A 22,151-nucleotide genomic window follows, 5' to 3' on the forward strand; every position below is an offset into this window, starting at 1 on the left:
CCAGCATCACAGAACTGGCCGTGGCGCCTCAGGCCGACACCACCCTTCAAGGATGCCGTGTGCAGGGTTCTGCTGGCTCCCGTTTGCCAACTGCCCTTCCCTTGCTCCTACTCCCTCCCACCCTATTCCCTGGAATATGGGAAGTATTACATGAGAGAATGTATATAAAACCTTAGCACAAAGTGGATGCTCCAGAAAAGGTAACACGGTTACCTTTTTCTTTCCCCTTACCAGCACCTAAGACCCAGTCCTCTCTTAACACTCTGAGATCTGAATATCACTTCCATGGCTCCAAGCATAACCTCATCCTCCAACTGGTCCAACTAAAGAGGCTGGGTGCCAGACTCCCTCCAAAACCGTCAGGGTCGCTGCTAAACCACAGGGAGGTATTACCAATAGAGATGGGGTATTTGGCTTGTGGCAAAAGTACAGCCTGCCATTTCTCTTTAGGACTGAAAACTCAGGGAATGCAAGGGCCACATCTTACTTATATTCTGTCTATAAAGTCCTGAATGTTATCTGTGCTTTGCACCCAATAAGCATTCAGAAAGTACTGACCATAATGAAGAATAAGGAAAAGAAAAAGATAGTAGGATCCATGGAATCATTTCAATTCAAGCACTTCTAGAAAAAGACATTTTGAAAGCCCCTGGGTGTTAAATGCCAAACCCTTAAGATAAGAATGCTGATCCACTTAAGCATGAAATTACAAATGAAAAATTCTCATAGATGAAAACACCCTTAATATTCACAAAATTCACTGTAAATTGCACAAAATTAACTCATACTTTTGTAGCAAGAAAATATTGTAGCAAGAAAATATTGTACCAATAACCATCTTTTACCATCCAAACTGGAATTTTTCTTCCCCTCCAGAAGCTCTTGTTACACACACTTTTCTTTTGTCACATCGTATGGTGTGCACTGTCCTCACCTCCCTGTCCAACTGCAAGCTCCCCGTTAAGCAGCAATGGCCTTCTTCATCTCTGCCTCCCTAGCCCAGGCAATTCCTGATACACAGTAGATATTCAGTAATTCATTTTCCAATAAGTAAGAAAAAAAGCACCTTATTTTAATCATTGCCATGCTTTTCTAGGCACCCAGGCCTGTAACTGTCATCTTCTACTCGACATGCTGAATGTCTTCTGGGAGGGGCTTTGGAATCAAGGACCTGGGTTTGAATCCCGGCTCTGTCATTTAATAACTATGTGATCTTGAGCACTACTGAAGTCAAGGGAAAAGAATGAGTATTTTAATATCTCTCATGCTATTTGTCAGGAATTTAACACATTCAATGTTCTTCTTAAATTTTAAACCCTAAGCCCTAGTTTCTCATATGTAAAATGGGATTTGGGAGATTCTAAAACCTATATCATAGCTATTGTGAGGATTAAATGAAATAAAAAAATTTAAATTCCTTAAACAGTCCTTTGCACATAGCAGATGGTTTAAAAGTATGATTTCCTCTCAAATTTCCCATGATCACCATTTTAACATCATATCCTATCACTTATTCTGAGCTGCAAACCTCTCATTCTGCAGAAAAATGCAGAATGCAGGAGTTCTTTATCCAGGTGAGGGTTTACCTTCTGCCTAGTCATGCTTGATCACAGATAACTCACTGCCTCTGGAAGAGGGAGGGTGCACACCTAGACACCATTATCTAGCCAGTAATTTTTTTTCCAGCTCATTCATTTGGGAAGCATGGCTCCCAAGCATTTCAAATGAAATCTGCTACAGTAAATAAGCTCCAGTCTTTGTTATGGTCTTCATGTACCTGAGGCATCCTTAACGTTGCTTTTGATAAAAAGAACAAGTTAATCTGCAATCAGGCCTTTGTGATGGTGGCTAATGATGGAAATAACATCAAGTGCCTACGACATTCTAAGCATTGTGCTAGGCACCTTTCATGGCTTTCTTGTCTCACTTTATTCCCACAACCCTGAAAGATGAGGACTACAATCATCCCCATTTTATAACAGGGAAACTGAATCTCAAGAGAGGTTAGATCATATAGCTAGTAGGTAGCAACGCTGATAACTGAATTTAGGTCTACTGACTCCAAATCTATGCTGACATGCTTTGCTTTTGCTTTTACTCAGTTAGTTCTTCTTGAACATTTTTGTGAAAGGGACAGCTCTGGGTCACCAGCATCACACAGGGAAAGGAAAGGTTGCAGGCATTCAGAGGGGTCAGTGGCGCTTGCCCATGGTCCATAGGCTGCAGTGGCAGAGCAGGCCAAGAAGTCAGCACTCACCTTCCTGGCCGTGTTTGCAAAGTGAGCCCCACAGGACTTGCAGCTTGGTTCCAAGCCTGTTGGGGAAGGGAAGGAGCTGTACCCAGGGTTGGAATAGGCCTGCATCCTGGCTCCCTGGGGTGGTGGGACCTCCTCAGGCTGTCCATCCAGGCAGAACCAGTTGCAGCAGGTTGCCCACATGATAAAATCTGGTGCAAGGGAGGAAAGGGGAAAAGGTCAGAGTTAAGACACACCTCTACTGTCCTTTTGATGTCCGAGAGCACAGGTGAGCAGTGACACTCAATGCACGCATGCCACCAAGGTGGAGGGGAGGATGTGTTTTCAAACAGATTTTGTTTTTCTTCTTTTTGAGATGGAGTTTTGCTCTTGTTGCCCAGGCTGGAATGCAGTGGCGTGATCTCAGCTCATCACAACCTCCGCCTCCTGGGTTCAAGCGATTCTCCAGCCTCAGCCTCCCAAGTAGCTGGGATTACAGGTGCCCGCCATCACGCCCGGCTTTTTTGTATTTTTAGTAGAGATGGGATTTCACCACATTGGCCAGGCTAGTCTCGAACTCCTGACCTTGTGATCGGCCCACTTCGGCCTCCCAAAGTGCTGGGATTAAGGCGTGAGCCATGGCGCTGAGCTGGGGAAGACTATTGTTCATTGCTTTATATAAATGATGCAACCCAGACTCAAAGAAATCAAATATATAGCCAATATATAGAGAGCTAATATACAGAGTTGAGATTCTACAAACCCAGGTCTTCTGACTCCAAACCTAACATCCTTTTCCCTATACTATGTTGTCCATTCATTGATTTCCCCTCCTGCCAGCCAGTAAAACTACTCTTACATTTGTACCCCCAATCCTAGATAAACTTCTATCACAGCACCTATTATACTTTCTTGCACAGTTATATCTTGCTCTTTATTTTCTACTACTAAGCCATAAATTCCTCCAGGGCAGGGGATATTTATTCATTATGTACAGTACTGTTCCCTAGCACTGTTGTCCATGTAGAAGCTCAACAAATATTTGCTTCCTTACTGAATCAGAGCCTCTGTAGGTTTATTAAGAAGTGTTCGGAGCCAGGCGCAGTGGCTCACGCCTGTAATCCCAGCACTTTGGGAGACTGAGGCGAGTGGATCACCGGAGGTCGGGAGTTCGAGACCAGCCTGACCAACATGGAGAAACTCCATCTCTACTAAAAATACAAAATTAGCAGGGTGTGGTGGCGCATGCCTGAAATCCCAGCTACTCGGAAGGCTGAGGCAGAAGAATGGCTTGAACCCGGGAAGTAGAGGTTGTGGTGACCCCAGATCGTGCCACTGCACTCTAGCCTGGACAACAAGAGTGAAACTCCGTCTCAAAAAAAAAAAAAAAAAAAAGTGTTGGGCCAGGTGCAGTGGTTCACTCCTGTAATCCCAGCACTTTGGGAGGCCAAGGCGGGTGGATCACCTGAGGTCAGGAGTTCGACAGCAGCCTAGCCAACATGGTGAAACCCTGTCTCTACTAAAAATATAAAAATTAGCTGGGCGGGGTGGCAGGCGCCTGTAACCCCAGCTACTTGGGAGGCTGAGGCTGGAGAATTGCTTGAACTCATGAGGCAGAGATTGCAGTGACGGGAGATCGTGCCATTGCACTCCAGCCTGGGTGACAAGAGCAAAACTCCATCTCAAAAAAAAAAAGAAGCGTTGGCCAGGTGTGGTGGCTCACGCCTATAATCCCAGCACTTTGGGAAGCCAAGGTGGGAAGATTGCTTGAGCTCAGGAGTTCAAGACCAGTCTGGCCAACATGGCAAAATCCCATCTCTACAAAAAAATACAAAAATCAGCCAGGTGTGGTGGCACACACCTGTAATCCAGCAACTCAGGAGGCTGAGGTGAGAGGATCACTTAAGCCTGAGAGGCGGAGATGGCAGTGAGCCGAGATCGTGCCACTGCACAACTACACTCCAGCCTGGGTGACAAAGTGAGACCTTGTCTCAAAAAAAAAAAAAGTGTTGGTTTATTACTCCCATAGTACATATCAAATGCAGGTACTGGGGACAAAGGGCTGATGATTTTTACGATCACAAAACAAAGAGGATCTGGATCCAATCCCTCAAATGTCAGAATAACCTAACAATTGTAAGAGGGCCCACTCAAATGCCAAGCATTGATGTGAGATATGAGTATGTTTTTCTCAGTAGACTAAAGCAGCCCATGTAGATACTTTGAGCCTGAACTCTTTGCTTACAGAGACAATAAATGAAACATTTAGTGTTATTATTTGATAATCAGTTCACACAATAGAATGCTCTGCTGTCTCCTGACTCATTGTTTTAACAAGGGCACTTTCATAAGCTAGAAGGAACTAAGAAGCCAACTGATTCAACCTGGGTTATTTCATCGAGGAAAAAAGAATGAGAACCAGCAAGGGGAAGTAACTTCCTAGGTCAAATAGCTCATAACCTCAGGCCTCTTCACTTCTCTAGGTCCTTTTTAGCTTTCCAACACTGCCTCCACTGCACCTGTGATATAATTCGCTCCCTTGCAGGGGTCTCTGATTAACACCTGTCTCCCCAACTGGCCTGTAACTTGCCTGTAACCCCCACGACAACAGGGATTGTGATAGTCTAACAGTGCCCAATTAGACAGGTAGCTCAACAAGAACTAGCAAATGAATTAATCATATACAATATCTAAGTCTTAACTAATCACACATTTGTTCAATCTTCAGCACATCAGAAACATTTCTCTCTGACTCAATATAACCTGTCTGAGGGTTCTAAGTTCCCAGGAGAGGAACTTAGTTCCCAGGAACTTAAGTTCCTAGAATAAGAATTGCAAGTAATCTGCCTTTACTTGCAATTAACAGTTCACATGGAATAATGAAGTAAAGAGTTCTTCACAGAGTGTGTGTATGATAAAGTAAATGAGTTCTTTGCTGCCAAGAGAAATGGGGACAACAGAGGAGGAATAGCCCTCTGAAATATTTTGTAGTTTTTTTTTTTTTTTTTTTTGAGACAGGGGTCTCACTCTGTCACCCAGGCTGGAGTGGAGTAGCATGATCTCGGCTCACTGAAACCGCCGCCTCCCAGGTTTAAGTGATTCTCCTGCCTCAGCTTCCTGAGTAGCTGGGATTACAGGCAGCTGTCATCATGCCCAGCTAATTTTTGCTTTCTTTTTTTTTTTTTTTTTGAGACGGAGTCTTGCCCTGTCGCCCAGGCTGGAGTGCAGTGGCATGATCTCAGCTCACTGCAAGCTCCGCCTCCCGGGTTCACACCATTCTCCTGCCTCAGCCTCCCAAGTAGCTGGGACTACAGGCGCCCACCACACCTGGCTAATTTTTTATTTTTTTTTATTATTATACTTTAAGTTTTAGGGTACATGTGCACAGCGTGCAGGTTAGTTACATATGTATATATGTGCCATGCTGGTGTGCTGCACCCATTAACTCGTTATTTAGCATTAGGTATATCTCCTAATGCTATCCCTCCCCCCTCCCCCAACGCCACGACAGTCCCCAGAGTATGATGTTCCCCTTCCTGTGTCCATGTGTTCTCATTGTTCAATTCCCACCTATGAGCGAGAACATGCGGTGTTTGGTTTTTTGTCCTTGCAATAGTTTACTGAGAATGATGATTTCCAATTTCATCCATGTCCCTACAAAGGACATGAACTCATCATTTTTTATGGCTGCATAGTATTCCATGGTGTATATGTGCCACATTTTCTTAATCCAGTCTATCATTGTTGGACATCTGGGTTGGTTCCAAGTCTTTGCTATTGTGAATAGTGCCGCAATAAACATACGTGTGCATGTGTCTTTATAGCAGCATGATTTATAGTCCTTTGGGTATATACCCAGTAATGGGATGGCTGGGTCAAATGGTATTTCTAGTTCTAGATCCCTGAGGAATTGCCACACTGACTTCCACAATGGTTGAACTAGTTTACAGTCCCACCAACAGTGTAAAAGTGTTCCTATTTCTCCACATCCTCTCCAGCACCTGTTGTTTCCTGACTTTTTAATGATTGCCATTCTAACTGGTGTGAGATGGTATCTCATTGTGGTTTTGATTTGCATTTCTCTGATGGCCAGTGATGGTGAGCATTTTTTTGTGTGTGTTTTTTGTATTTTTAGTAGAGATGGGGTTTCACCATGTTAGCCAGGATGGGCAAATCTCCTGACCTCATGATCTGCCCACCTCAGCCTCCCAAAGTGCTGGGATTACAGGCGTGAACCACCATGCCCAGCCAATTTTTGTATTTTTAGTAGAGACTGGGTTTTGTCATATTGCCCAGGCTGGTCTCAAACTCCTGACCTCAAGTGATCCACCTGCCTTGGCCTCCCAAAGTGCTGGCATTACAGTTGTGAGCCACCATGCCCAGCCAAATTTTGTAATTCTTTAAATCACACGTTGACAGACAAATCTGAGACAGTATGTAATAATAAAAAGAATATAGAATCTGGAATAAGAAGGCCTCAGTCCTAAGTCCTGCTCTACTTACTTAAGGGCTGTGTTACCTCCCTCTAACAAGTAATAGACTTTCTGTACTTCATTTTTCTCCTCTGGACAGTCTGTATGCTATAAAGCACTATATAAACATTAGTTGTTGTTATCCACATTATAACAATGCTTTTAACTACAATTTTTCTGGGAAGGCAAAGGTACAAAATAAACCTAATAAACCTACAGATTTCACAACAATTACCATCTGGCTTTCTGGGCTTGTCCCCTGCAAAGAGGACAAGGTTGTAGGCAATTCACTAACTTTTTTTTGGGATGGAGTCTCCTTCTGTCGCCCAGGCTGGAGTGCAGTGGCATGATCTCAGCTCACTGCAACCTCTGCCTCCCAGGTTCAAGTGATTTTCCTGCCTCAGCCTCCCGAGTAGCTGGGATTACAGGCGCCTGCTACCATGCCTGGCTAATTTTTGTATTTTTAGTAGAGATGGGGTTTCACCATGTTGGCCAGGCTGGTCTCAAACTCCTGACCTCAGGTGATCCGCCTGCCACGGCCTCCCAAAGTGCTGGGATTACAGGCGTGAGCCACCACACCTGGCCAATTCACTAACTTCTGTTAAACTCTCTACTCATTCATGATGCATGCAACTTTTACTGAAACCAGTGCCTTGCTGTTTCCAGTGCTAGGTAAGGAAGGTTAAGTACCTACCCTCAAGGAGCTCATGGTCTAGTCAGGGTACTAGAAATGTAAACCAAATATTGAAATTTCAGGGTGATCAGTGCTTTAACGGAGGTTTGCACCATGTATTATTGGGAGGCTACACAGAGGGAAATGATCAGCTCTACAGGGGAAGAGGGGTGACCAGAGAAGACTTTTCAAATGAGGTGCCGCACATCCTATCATGATGTGGGAGTAACTGGGACTTTACCAGAAAGTCAAGAAGAGAAGGAATTTTCAACAGAAAACAAGTAATATGCACCATGGCATTAAAGAAACTACAAAATGCAGCTGGGCGCGGTGGCTCACGCCTGTAATCCCAGCACTTTGGCAGGCCGAGGCAGGAGGATCACGAGGTCAGGAGACCAAGACCATCCTGGCTAACAGGGTGAAACCCCGTCTCTACTAAAAATACAAAAAATTAGCCAGGCGTGATGGTGGACGCCTGTAGTCCCAGCTGATCGGGAGGCTGAGGAAGGAGAATGGCGTGAACCCAGGAGGCGGAGCTTGCAGAGAGCCGAGATCGCGCCACTGCACTCCAGCCTGGGCGACAGAGCGAGACTCCGTCTCAAAAAAAAAAAAAAAAAGAAAAAGAAACTACAAAATGCTTGGTTGGGTCAGGGAGCAAGGCAGGGAGTAGATGAGGGTACAAGTAGTAAACAAAGAGCCAAGAAAAACCTTTTATTCCCTGGTAAGGAACCTGGACTGGATCCTATACGTAATGGGACACGATTAGGGCATTTTGTTGTCTCATTTGCATATTAGAGTGCACACTTATAAGCAGTGTGTGGGACAGATCAGCAAGGGGCCAGCTGGAAGCAGGAAGTTGCTGCAGTAGAGAGGCAAGATGGGTAAATATGGAAATTTTAAAAAGGTGCAGATCTGATAGAATGAGCAGAATGAACTAGCAGACGAGAGAAGGGGGAGAGAAAAGAGAGTCTAGGACAAAGTCTAGGGTCTCTGAATTACACAACAGAATAGATGGTGGAATTACTTACTGAAATGAAGCCCTCAGGAGGAGGCATGTATCTGTGTGTGGAGAATAGGGACGGGTTAAGATGATGAGTTGAGTTTTGTACTCATGGGACATGCTGATGTATACACAGGTACATGTTTGGGCTGAAGATAAAGGTTTGGGAACACATGGCCCACTGGAAGTACGTAAAGCCAGAGTGGGGCCGGAGGCTGATTAGATGGTCTGGGTCAGAAGAGAAGAAGGCATGGGAAAACCACATCTATAGGGCAAGCAGGGGAAAGCCCACAGCAGAAAAGAGGAAAAAAGAATGCTCAGAGCAGGGGGAACTGGAAGAGTGTTTTTAGTTTCAAGAAGAAATTATCAACGCTGTCAAATGTCTCAGAGAACACAATACAATGAAGAATGCAAAATGCCCAATGGACTAAGGTTTAGGAAAGTGTCCATGTGTGCTCTTTGCCTAAGCAGTTTAGGAAGAAAGAAGCTGATAATCATAGCTTGGAAAGTGAATGAGAAGTATGAATTCACACAATTCCAAGGATAAATTATTATTTCAAGAAACTTGACTGTAAAATGAAAGGAAGAGAGGAGGCAGTTGCTAAAGAAGATCCAGTGTCACCAGGATAAATGCAGACATATTCACAAACTGCTGAGGAGTCCCCAAAAGATTAAGAGACTGTAGAGGAAGTGAAGCTGACAATAAATGATTGGAATAGGAGTAAAGGCTGGAGTAGAAAAAGAAGTGATATGGCTGGGCATGGTGGCTCATGGCTGTAATCCCAGCACTTTGGGAGGCCGAGGTGGGCAGATCACCTGAGGTCAGGAGTTCGAGACCAGCCTGGCCAGCATGGTGAAACCCCATCTCTACTAAAAATACAAAATTACCCGGGTATGGTAGCACGCGCCTGTAATCCAAGCTACTGGGGAAGCTGAGACAAGAGAATCACTTGAACCTGGGAGGTGGAAGTTGCAGTGAGCCAAGATCACACCATTGCACTCCAGCCTGGGCATTTTGAGCGAAACTCTGTCTCAAAAATAAATAAATAAATAAATACATAAGAAAAAGAAGTGATCATGTGATCAGATTAGGGGGTAGGTCTATTCCCGGGCAGGATAAAAGTCACCTCATTCACCAGACAGTGGGGCAGAGGTGAAGGCAGGTATAACCAAATATAAATTTATAGTATTAGCAATAGAAAAGTGAAAGTACAAAATAAACAGGAAAGGGGCTGGGCACAGTGGCTTACATCTATAATCCCAGCATGTTGGGAGGCCAAGGCAGGAGAATCGCTTGAGGCCAGGAATTCATGATCAACCTGAGCAACACACTGAGACTCCATCTCTATAAAAAATAATAATAATAGGCCAGGCACAGTGGCTCAAGCCTGTAATCCCAGCACTCTGGGAGGCCGAGGTGGGCGGATCACGAGGTCAGGAGATCGAGACCATCCTGGCTAACACAGTGAAACCCCGTCTCTACTGAAAATACAAAAAAATTAGCCAGACGTGGTGGCGGGCGCCTGTAGTCCCAGCTACCCGGGAGGCTGAGGCAGGAGAATGGCGTGAACCCGGGAGGCGGAGCTTGCAGTGAGCCGAGATCGCACCACTGTACTCCAGTCTGGGTGACAGAGCGAGACTCTGTCTCAAAAAAATAAAAAATAAAATAATAATAATAATAATGATAATAATTAGCTGGGCATGGTGGCACGCACCTGTAGTCCCAGCTATGTGAGAGGCTGAGGACAGAGGATCACTTGAGTCCAGGAGGATGTAGTGAGCTATGATCATGCCACAGCACACTCTAGTCTAGGCACCACAGAGCAAGTTCCTGTCTCAAAAATTAAAAAAATAAAAAAGGAAAGGGGAGATAGATTTAGCCACATGAAAAAAATAAACTTTTGTTCCACACAAGGAATCTACAGGTTGTAAATTTTTCCTAAAAGGACTTTGCACAAAATAGGCAGACCCACCTGGTAAGGCACAATCAGTAGGAAAAACTGGAAAGTTGTATATTGTTTAAATCCACGTTACTTTTTTTTTTTTTTCCTTGAGACAGAGTCTCACTCTGTCACCCAGGCTGGAGTACAATGGCGCGATCTTGGCTCACTGCAACCGCCACCTCCCATGTTAAAGCGATTCTCCTGCCTCAGCCTCCCGAGTAGCTGGGACAACAGGGAGTTACCACACCCAGCTTATTTTTGTATTTTTAGTAGAGACGGGGTTTCTCCATGTTGGCCAGCCTCATCTCAAACTCCTGACCTCAGGTGATCCACCTGCCTTGGCCTCCCAAAGTGCTAAGATTACAAGTGGGAGCTGCCACGCCCAGCAAAAATCAATGTACTTACGAAGCACCAGCTATATTGTGGGTACTGGAAACACCAAAAGTGATTTCGACTAGGTCTTTGTCCCGAGGGGATTTGGAGCCTTGAAAGGCATATAGCTCAACTTGAACATCTTGATACAAGACAGAAGAAAACTCTTCTTTAGCTGGAGTCAAGAGAACCCATCTTCCTCCACACTATTTTTATTCTCTTAACTTTGGTTCTAACCTTAAGTGCCTCTTCTGAACATCTCTGAAAGAAGAGCTATCAGCCTATTCAAGTCATCTGGCTACTTTTAAAAAGAAGGCTGGCTGGGCGCGGTGGCTCAGGCCTGTAATCCCAGCACTTTGTGAGGCTGAGGTGGGTGGATCACAAGGTCAGGAGAGTGAGACCAATCCTGGCTAACATGGTGAAACCCCGTCTCTACTAAAAATACAAAAATTAGCCGGGCATGGTGGCACATGCCTGTAGTCCCAGCTACTCAGGAGGCTGAGGCAGGAGAATCACTTGAACCCAAGAGGTGGAGGTTGCAGTGAGCTGAAATTGCACCACTGCACTCCAGCCTGGGCAACAGAGCGAGACTCCATCTCAAAAAAAAAAAAAAAATTGCCATTCTGCCACCCCACAGTCTCCAAGTTTAGGTGGAGAATGAAGTCTTATGCTAGGAATATACATATGTGGGGAAGGGGGTTATTACAGGAAAGATCAGGTAGTGGCAAGATTCTCCAGTGTTAACATACCTTAGACCTGCTCAGTCTAACAGAACAGGTTTGCCAAAGTCAGCCGACTAGGCTTTTACTCTTTATATACCTATATCTGTATCTATATCTATAGATATTTATATCTATATATATATTTTACTCCATATATATATGTATATATATATAAATTTTTTCTTTTTTGAGATGGAGATTCACTCTTGTCACCCAGGCTAGAGTGCAACGGCAAGATCTCAGCTCACTGCAACCTCCATCTCCAGGGTTCAAGCGATTCTCCTGCCTCAGCCTCCTGCGTAGCTGGGACTACAGGTGTGCATCACTACACCTGGCTAATTTTGTATTTTTAGTAGAGACGGGGTTTCACCATGTTGGCCAGACTGGTCTTGAACTCCTGACCTCAGGTGATACACCTGCCTCAGCCTCCCAAAGTGCTGGAATTACAGGCATGAGCACCATGCCCGGCCACTCTGACAGATATTTAAATACCAAAAAAGAAACATGTCCTAATGTGGTCAGTTAGAAGTACTCTCCTGCCAAACTGGAAAGCCCTAACCCTAAATAACAACTACGTTCAGGGTTATTTCAGAGGGCGGAAGGAAAGAGTTTGTAACTAACAACGCTATATAAGCTAAAATACTTTTCTCTTGGGAATATTTTTTTCATTCCTCATCCCTAAATAGATATACATACATGGCATTTGATAATGCTATTAAAGGACTGAAAGTGGAACTAATTGTGAGGTGTAGAAAGAATTCTCCCTAAGGTGATAAATGAAAAACTTTTCTCTCTTATCTACAAACCTCCTTCTGATCTTGAAAGAAAATTATTGGATCTTCACTCAGGGCTTGAACATTCCTTCCCAAACTCCCCTCACCCTCTTCTTAAAAGACAGACTTGGCAATTTAGTCCTCAAAAACAGTGTCTAACTGCTGTCCTACAGAGCTTGCTTGAAGCCTGCTAGGGTCTCCTCTTCCACTTTCCCTAAAAGGGAGAAAAATGGGAGATGTAGGGCCAGTAGTGAATAAAAACATTTACTATTCCCTGTGGAAGAACCTTGTGATATGAGGCAAGAATGGCTAGCTAGCATGTAGGATTTTGTCAGCTTGATAAGTATGCTAGTATTTCTTGGGAGAGTTAGCCCTGCTGAACAGGAAAATAACAGTGTTAATAACAGAATAAGATAAATTACCTATTCCAGGTGGGCTTGGTACAGTCATAGTTAGAGGCAAGAGGGTAGATAATGTGATTTCTACCTATTAAGTCCTAGATTCCTAAGTAGTTTCAAAACACTTCTCCGCTTGTTCACCTGCCCAAGGCAAATGATTTAAAGCAGATCAGTGGTTGTCATGGGTCTTCCCATGAAGGGGAGAGAGGAGTAGAAGGGCCATGCTGGTTTGCAATGTAACTCCAAAGACACCAAAAAACTAAGGCAGTAAAAAAATTCCCAAGGTTCTCATCCAATCTATTCTGATTTTAATTAACTGCTCTGTGCACCAAGGTAGTTCTGCAACAACAGGCTTTACACAAAAGCATAGACAGCTACATCTTGGAATTAACACACTTATGGTGCACCATTGTATAAAAGTTTACAAAAATCCTTTTAAAATACCTAAATAAAATGCCCCCAAACCTTAAAGAAATGCCTTTCTGACATGACAAATCAGAAAAGGGCTGGAAAGCAAGCCTTACAGAATCATGTCCAGTTTATTGAGGGTGGTACGCCTACTGTCACTAACGTATTTCTGGAATGGTTAAAAGCATCTATGTTGTTAGTGCATAAAGAAAAGTATCCCACATTATGAATCATTAGTACAGAATGGGCTTAGCTTCATCTTGTGTATTATCATTAAAAAGCAATTAAAGACAATTGCAATGGTTTTGAAAGGAAATTCTGTGAAAAGTCTATCAACAGGGCTTAGGCTAAGCCTCTCTAAAATAATTCATAAGTAATTACATATTTTGAGAAGTAAAGAAGAAAGTAGCCACTCTCTGCTGGAAGAATGCTTATTTGCCAGGCACTGAGATAGGTACTTTTACCTAGTGTTATCTCATGTGATCCTCACAATTCTGGCAAGGTAGATTAGTTCTTCCCATTTTCAGGTGAGAAAAAAAGGTTCAGAGAAGTTAAGTAACTTGTTAAAGGTCACAGCTAGAGGATAGCAAAGCCAAGCTTTGAACCTTGGTCACTTAGACCCTGAAGCGTACCCTCTTGAGATGTAGTCCTGATTTAATTTAAAAAATCAATCTGTCTACCCTGTGGCCCATCCCCTCTGAGCTTTTGCTTTCCATCTCTACAGGAACTTTCCTATCATCATACAGGTATGCTCCAGAATCTCCCAGGTGTTAAAAACTCTTCTTTGTCATAATGGAAGTACAAATTATGACCACAAAGTGTTACCACCACTGGAATAGCTAAAATGAAAAAGAGATACTAGCAAATGTTGATAAGGATAAAGAGCAACTGGAGCAGACGGGCATGGTGGCTCACACCTGTAATCCCAGCACTTTGGGAGGCTAAGTCGGACGGATCACCTGAGGTCAGAAGTTCGAGACCAGCCTGGACAACATGGTGAAACCCCGTCTCTACTAAAAATACAAAAAATTAGCCAGGCGTGGTGGCACATGCCTATAATCCCAGCTACTCAGGAGGCTGAGGCAGAAGAATCGCTTGAACCTGGGAGGCAGAGGTTGCAGTGAACCCAGATCGCACCATTGCATTCCTGCCTGGATGACAGAGCAAAACTGTCTCAAAAAAAAAAAAAAAAAAAAGGAAAAAAGAGCAACTGGAACTCTAATATTGCTGGTGGAAGTGTAAATTACTCCAATTTGGAAATTTTGTGTGTGTGTGCGCGCGCGTGCATATACACGCGCACCCACATCTCTTTCCATGGCTTTGCAATTCTGCTTCCAGGCATATACCCAACAGAAATACATTCACCCAAACAGTATACAGGAATATCCATGGAAGCCCTACTGTAATAGCCTCAAGCTGGAAACAACTGAAGTGTCCATCAACGGTAGAATTATGATATGTTCACAGAACAATGAGAAAAAACAAACAACTGATACATGCAATAGTACAGATGAATCTTATGTTGAGCAAAAGCAGGAGGCATAAATGAATACATGGGAAATGATTCGTTTTACATAAAATTCAAAAACAGGCAAACTATGGTGTTCAAAATCAGGATAGTGGTCATCCTGTGAGGTAGGATTACAGATGGAAGGCAGCCCAAGGGGCTTCTGGTAACATTGTTTCTTACTCTGAATGCTGATTATGTAGATATGTTGACTTTGTAAAAATTCATCGAACTGTACACTTATAATTTATATACTTCTCTAGTTACATTTGAATTAAAAGTTTATATGAGTGTTGTGTTTTGTTTTGAGATAGGGTGTCTCACTCTGTTGCTCAGGCTGGAGTGCAGTGTTGCGACCATGGCTCACTGTAACCTGGACCTCCCAGGCTTACGTGATCCTCCTGCCACAGCATGCCGAGTAGCTGGGACTACAGGCGCGCACCACCACACCTAATTTTTTGTATTTTTTTGTCTAGATGGGGTTTCATCAAGTTGCCCAGGCTGATCTCGAACTCCTGGGCTCAAGCAATCCACCCGCCTCAGCCTCCCAAAGTGCTGGGATTACAGACATGGGCCCCTGCACCCAGCCCATATGACAGATTTTTTTCTTTTCTTTTTTTTGAGACGCAGTCTCGCTCTGTCGCCAGGCTGGAGTGCAGTGGCGCAACCTCGGCTCACTGCAACCTCCGCCTGCTGGGTTCAAGCGATTCTCACGCCTCAGCCTCCCGAGTAGCTGGGATTACAGGCACGTGCCATCACACCCAGCTAATTTTTGTATTTTTAGTAGAGACGGCGTTTCACCATGTTGGGCAGGATGGTCTTGATCTCCTAACGTCATGATCCGCCCACCTCGGCCTCCCAAAGTGCTGGGCTTATAGGCATGAGCCACAACGCCCAGCCAATGACAGATTTTTTAAAGCACCTAGTCAAATATTTGTAATTTGTAAAAAATAACAAAAAAATAAAAAATAAAACCCCATTTTGACCCCACATTCTCCCCCTCCCCAGTAAAGCTCTTTTTCTGTGATCTCCTCTAAATCAAATTTCTCCAAATATTTGACTCCACTTTTTTTTTTTGAAACGGAATTTCACTCTTGTTGCCCAGGCTGGAGTGCAATGGCACGATCTCAGTTCACTGCAACCTCTGCCTCCCGGGTTCAAGCAATTCTCCTGCCTCAGCCTCCCGAGTATCTGGGATTACAGGCATACAACTCCATGCCCAGCTAATTTTGTATTTTTAGTAGAGACGGCTTCTCCATGTCGGTCAGACTGGTCTCAAACACCCAACCACAGGTGATCTGCCCACCTCGGCCTCCCAAAGTGCTGGGATTACAGGCATGAGCCACCGCATCTGGCCGACTCCACTTTCTTAACCTCTAATTCACTCTTAAACCTTCTCCAATCTAGCTTGAGCCAACCACCATTCCTAATCTCTTCAAGGTCACCAAGGAATTCCAAGTGGCCAGATCTAATTGACACTTCTCTATCCTCATCTTAATCTCTCAGCAATGCTGGACACAAGCGACTCTCCCCCTCTAAACATCTCTTAGCTTCTAGCACTCTGCCCCCGTGGCTTTCCTCCTACCTCAAAGCCTTTTTGCTGCTTCTTACCCCTCCCTCTGTTCTTAAATGTTGTGAGTGTCCAGGCTGTCTTAGGCCTCCCTCTCCAACCACACCTCAGGTTGCTTTAAATACCTTTCTTGGCCGGGTGTGGTGGCTCACACCTGTAATCCCAGCACTTTGGGAGGCCAAGGCGGGCAGATCACTTGAGGTCGGGAGTTCAAGACCAGCCTGGCCAACATGGTGAAACCCCGTCTCTACTAAAAATATAAAAAATTAGCCAGGCATGGTGGCAGGCACCTATAGTCCCAGCCACTTGGGAGGCTGAGGTAGGAGAATCACTTGAACCTGGAAGGCAGAGGTTGCAGTGAGCTGAGATCATGCCACTGCACTCCAACCTGGGCGACAGAGCGAGACTCTCTCTCAAAAAAAAAAAAAGTAAAAAAAAAATAAAAAATACTTTTCTTAAATCAAAGATGCATAAATTCCTACCTTCATCTCCCCTGCTCCTGCTGGTGGGTTAAAACATCATCTTTCATATATTAATCACATTTCCCTCCTTAGGCCCTTTAGATTTGTTGTTTGTTCCTTCTGCCTGGATTGGTCTCCCTAGAACTTCCTATGCTTAGCTCCTTCTTGTCATCCAAACATCAGCTTTAATGTCTTTTTTTTTTTTTTTTTTTTTTTGGTGTGTGTGTGTGTGTGTGTGTGTGTGTGAGGGAGAGAGAGATAGGGTCTCTCTCCAAGCTGGAGTGCAGTGGCTTGATCATAGCTCACTGTAATCTCGAACTCCTGGGCTCTAAGGATCCTCCTGCGTCAGGCTCCCAAAGCTCTGGGATTACAGGTGTGAGCTACCACGACCAGCCTTTTAATGTCATTTTCTAATTTCACCATAACATTTGGTATTAGCTGATATTATTTGCTTATTTATTAACTGCTTTCCCTAACTAGAATAGAAACCCCATGAGGGCAGGGACTTTGTGCTCTACCGAATTTCCAGAGTCTAGAATGGCTTCTTGGGTAAAAGAACAGCCTCCTAACGGGTTTCCTAGCTTTAATTCTTGCCTCTATCCACCTATTTCTCCACAAGGCATCACCCACTGCCCTCCTCCCCTCAACACACACACTTAAAGCTCTTTAATGTTGCTTGTTCCTAGAAGTGATCTTCCTTGGATGGATTATCCAAGGCATCCACCCAATGAAAGAAATCATGTTAACTCTTTGTACATAAAAATGTTTAAAAACTCTTCAAAAAAAAGTTCTTTAATGGACTCCTATTGCATTTTAGAATAAAAATAATCACTTCTTACATGGTTAAAGACCCTGACCACTTCTCCAATTCATGCCGTGCTACTTTTCTCACTCGTTAACTTCAAGCCATAGTGGGCTGGTGTGTGAAGAACCGAAAGGTAGTGTGACCTTTCGGTTCTTCACACCGAGCTGGTGTGTGTAAATGGGGGAGGACTCCTCATGTCGGTGATACTTGAGATGAGACCTGAAGGCTGAGAAAGGATTTTTTTTACCGCATCCAGCTAAAAATTATAATTCTAAAATGATGGCTGGGCATGGTGGCTCACTCCTACAATCCCAGCACTCTGGGAGGCCAAGGCAGGCGGATCAGTTGAGGTCAGGAGTTCAAGACCAGCCTAGACAACATGGTGAAACCCCGTCTCTACTAAAAACACAAAAATTAGTGGTGTGGTGGCACATGCCTGTAGTCCCAGCTACTCAGGAGGCTAAGGGAGAAGTATCGCTTGAACCCGGGAGGCAGAGGTTGCAGTGAGCCAAGATCACACCACTGCACTCCAGCCTGGGCCACAGAGCGAGACTCCATCTCAAAAAAATAAATAAAATAAAATGCCAATGACCTACATGTTTCATAGGCATTACTGGCTGGAAAGCCCAAGGTCTCTCTCCTCTCTCTGGTCACCCAAAGCTTGGGTTTCTTACCACCCAACGCTCTTGGTGGGACAGGCCCTGACACAGCTGATTTATACCAACAGCATAATTAAAAAATCACAATGTCCTGAGAACTCACCTGAAATTTAAAATCATCTCTTAACTTGGAAGGCTGCTTACTTTTAAAAGTAAGTTAGTCTGGCAAGCAACTTGAACTCCTTTGAAACTGTTTACTGGAATTTTCCAGCAAACCTGCCTGAGGTACCCACCCTGACTTGTAAAGATTTAAAATGCTGGTGACAACACAATGAGCATAAAATAGGACAACTGTTGCATTTGTAAGTAAGCAGCCTGCTGAGTAAACCATACTACTAACTGGTCTCATATGCTGGGGGTGGGACAATGAAGCATGTTCTCTGTGATACTATTTCTGAGATATTTATTTTAGAATAAATAATTCGGTGGCCGGGCGCAGTGGCTCACACCTGTAATCCCAGCACTTTGGGAGGCCAAGGCAGGCGGATCACCTGAGCGCCCAGGAGTTCGAGACCAGCCCAGCCAACATGGTGAAACCCCATCTCTGCTAAAAATACAAAAAATTAGCTGGGCGTAGTGGCATGCACCTGTAGTCCCAGCTACTCAGGAGGCTAAGGCAGGATAATTGCTTGAACCCAGGAGGCAGAGGTTGCAGTGAGCTGAGATCACATCACTGCACTCCAGCCTGGCGACAGAATGAGACTCCATCTCAAAAAAAAAAAAAAAAAAAAAGAAAAGAAAAAAGAATTCAGAATACCTAAGTCATAGAGAAGACATGTATATGGTAGAACTTTAGAATCCAAGGCCTGAATTAGGATAAAGAGCCCTGCTGAAGTGGTGCATGGGCTGGACATAAACAAGGAATATTTCACAGGCCAGAACTCAGGGGAGGAAAACATTTCCAAAGCTTTTAATACTAATAGACATTTTCTATCCTCCAAGGCAGTCCTTTGGATATGGGTAACAGATAAATGCATATTTCCTAGGTAAGAATTTTATTTTAGGTCTAAAGTTTAAGAAGACAGAACAGTTGGAGAGAAAGGTGGGGGGAAAAAAAGCTGTTCCCAAGTATGTTTTACTTTGGCTTTAAAATCAGTCAGACCTGACCTTAAATCCTGGCTCTAACACTGAATAAATGAATGAGCTTGAGTAAGCTGCCACTAGGAGCTTCAGAGTAACAGGAATACATTCCCTACACCTCACAGGCTGGACATAGAGGTGGTGCTCAGTATAAAGGGGGATCATAACTTCACTGGACTTTTCAATCTTACATCAAGAGCAGAGGGCAGTGTTAGACATTCAGTAAATAGCCGTCATTATAATAAGGCATGGGCTCATGAGGATTAAATGTTTGCCTCTCTCCAAACCAGCTTCCAGAGCCTCCTTTCACACAGAGATGTCAGTAACATCAAAGACACAAGGACTAGAGCCTCTTCTCTCCTCCAGTCCCCAAGTTATACTTTAATGTAAAGGATCAAAACTTTAGACATGACATAATCTTCTGTGCTATTATTTCAGATGGCAGACACGGGGAAAATTGGGGGAGTTATTCAGAACTTGGGGTTCCTGAAGTCCTTTCTCAGAAGATTACAAAGTAAAAACATTACAAAACACCTAAAATGTGCCAAGTTAGTTGTTATGTTTGCATCTGTTGTCTTATTTAACACAATAATCCTACAAAAATCAGAATTAAAATGGTCTGATTTTTGTAGGATTCAATAAAAAGTACCTTAAGCACCTTGTAAAAAGTATAATACATAGAAAAACCATTCCTGGGACTACAGAACTTTAATTTATACATCCCATAAGTCATCTGCATTTCTAGTTTCTACAAGTTCAGGGTACCAGTGATACAGACCCCCAACCTTCTAAAGATAAAGCCTTTAACTGATATTTAAGGTGTATTTCAGTTTCTCTTCTTACTTTTGCTCCAGTTGAGATTTTTCTGACTTAATTGTCTCAACTGCAACTAATGCTCTATTTCATTGATTCATTTATTGAGACAAGTCTCTGTCACCCAGCCTGGAGTGCATTGGCACCATCATAGCAAACTGTAGCCTTGAGCGATCGTCCCACCTCAGCATCCTGAGTAGCTAGAACTGCAAATACCCACCACCTTGCCCAGCTAATTTTTTATTTTTATTTTTTTTGTAGAGACAGGGTCTATGTTACCCAGACTGGTCTTTGAACTCCTAGCCTCAAGCAATCCTACCTGGGCCTCCCAAAGTGCTGGGATTACAGGCAATGAGCCAGCGCACCTGGTCTACCCTCCTTTTAATAAGTGTTGTCAGCCAGGCGCGGCAGGCTCACGCCTGTAATCCCAGTGAAACCTTGTCTCTACTAAAAATACAAAAATTAGCCAGGCATGGTGACAGGTGCCTGTAATCCCAGCTGCACGGAGGCTGAGGCAGGAGAATCGCTTATCTGGGAGGTGGAGGTTGCAGTGACTCGACACTGCACCACTGCAGTCCAGCCTGGGAGACAGAGCGAGACTCCATCTCAAAAAAAATAAAGTAAGTGTTGTCACTGGGTAACTAGTAAATAATAATGAAAGCAAATCCTTAGTGCTCAGGGCCTTACTCCTTACTCTATCCTATTCTTTCAGTTCTTCAAACACCAAGGTTATTTTGGCTTTAGGAATCTCCCTCCCTCAAGCTATTCAGCTATTCTCTCAGCCTGGAGCACTGTTGCCACCTCACCTCCCTTACATATCATTTATTTCCTCAGGGAAACCTTTCCTGATCCTGTCTGTGCTCTCATAACATTTTTTTTTTTTTGAGACAGGGTCTCACTCTGTCACCCAGGCTGGAGTACAGTGGTGCGATCACAGCTCACTGCAGCCTCGATCTCCCAGGCTCAAGTGATCCTCCCACCTCAACTTCCCAAAGGATTGGAATTACAGGTGTGAGCCACCATGCCTGGCCTCATAGAATCTTATACACTTCCTTATAACCATAATTGATTTATCAGACTATTTAGCATGAATCTCCTGTACCTCTGGAGAACGTAAGAGGAACAACAACAGGCAAGGTCCTTGAATCTCATAATGATTACATTCTGGGGGAAAGAGCATTCTAGCAGTACTGTATCTAATCAACTGGCTAACAGTTTGTATAATTCTTTTTTTTTTCTTTTTTTGAGACAGAGTCTCACTCTGTCGTCCAGGCTAGAGTGCAGTAGCATGATCTCAGATCACTGCAACCTCCACCTCCCAGGTTCAAGCAATTCTCATGCTTCAGCCTCCTGAGTAGCTGGGATTACAGGCACGTGCCACCATGCCTGGCTAATTTTTTGTATTTTTAGTAGAGATGGGGTTTTACTATGTTGGCCAGGCTGGTCTTGAACTCCTGACCTCAAGTGATTTGCCCGCCTCAGCCTCCCAAAGTTCTAGGATTACAGGCATGAGCCACCATGCCCGGCCTATATAATTCTTTTTAAAGTATTTTTCTTCCATATTTAGGGTGTGGAAAGTGAAACAGGAAACAAGAGTAGGTCTATTTCACAGCTTTATTCTCAGCCTTAATGCCAGGTAATCAACACATATTTGTTGAATTATTAACTAATGATAACAGCAATAGAGCGCTTTTTAAAAAAAAAGGACAGAAATTCATGCTTAAAATTGCACAATTGGCGAGGCACAGTGGCTCACGCCTGTAATCGCAGCACTTTGGGAGGCTGAAGCCGGCGGATCACCTGAGGTCAGGAGTTTGAGACCAGCCTGGCCAACATGGCAAAACCCCATCTGTACTACAAATAAAAAAATTAGCTGGGCGTGGTGGTGTATATGCCCATAGTCCCAGCTACTCGGGAGGCTGAGGCAGGAGTATCGCTTGAACCTGGGAGGCGGAGGTTGCGGTGAGCCAAGATTGCACACTGCACTCCACCCTGGCTGACAGAGTGAGACTCTGTCTCAAAAAAAAAAAAAAAAAGGACAGAAACTGCACAATTATGATTCCGGGATGATCAGTAAATTAAGGATTTTAAACACACATAACCACAGCAATACCTTGAACGAAAGACTGAAGAGAATTTCTTTGTCTGCTAAGATTACTTGAAAAACAAAAGAAAAGAAAAATGGTTTAAATTGTTATTACAGAAGGACAAAACCAGAAAAGGAGAGCCTGGAAGAGGAACAAGACGGTCACTTCCATCTCT

At 43.9% G+C, this 22,151-nt stretch overlaps 1 protein-coding gene and 1 long non-coding RNA gene across 3 annotated transcripts in view, besides 2 other annotated features; both read right to left on the reverse strand.

The window, feature by feature from the left end:
* RFFL (ring finger and FYVE like domain containing E3 ubiquitin protein ligase) overlaps window positions 1-22,151 on the reverse strand; it is an 83,237-nt gene that overhangs the window by 18,127 nt on the left and 42,959 nt on the right. For both annotated transcript variants that reach the window (NR_037713.2, NM_001017368.2), the window contains exon 2: window positions 2,258-2,445. Coding sequence is in view for 1 of the 2 variants with exons in the window: in NM_001017368.2 (NP_001017368.1) it covers window positions 2,258-2,437 (180 nt within the window). In the remaining variant the exon portion in view is untranslated. The remainder of the gene's footprint in view (window positions 1-2,257; window positions 2,446-22,151) is intronic.
* The window catches only part of RAD51L3-RFFL (RAD51L3-RFFL readthrough), a 112,411-nt gene that overhangs the window by 15,005 nt on the left and 75,255 nt on the right, over window positions 1-22,151 (reverse strand). The gene's annotated exons all lie outside the window — the stretch shown is intronic.
* Window positions 3,363-3,539: a silencer, noted in NCBI's record as "fragment chr17:33354498-33354674 (GRCh37/hg19 assembly coordinates)". NCBI's record gives its function as "represses an EF-1alpha promoter that drives an FKBP-Casp9 reporter gene in an ReSE screen in HepG2 liver carcinoma cells {active_cell/tissue: HepG2}" and the evidence as "EXISTENCE:reporter gene assay evidence [ECO:0000049][PMID:32094911]".
* Window positions 4,494-4,543: an enhancer, noted in NCBI's record as "active region_12051". NCBI's record gives its function as "activates an Ori minimal core promoter by ATAC-STARR-seq in GM12878 lymphoblastoid cells {active_cell/tissue: GM12878}" and the evidence as "EXISTENCE:reporter gene assay evidence [ECO:0000049][PMID:35858748]".

This window comes from Homo sapiens, chromosome 17, assembly GCF_000001405.40.
Source record: "Homo sapiens chromosome 17, GRCh38.p14 Primary Assembly".
NCBI lineage: Eukaryota > Metazoa > Chordata > Mammalia > Primates > Hominidae > Homo > Homo sapiens.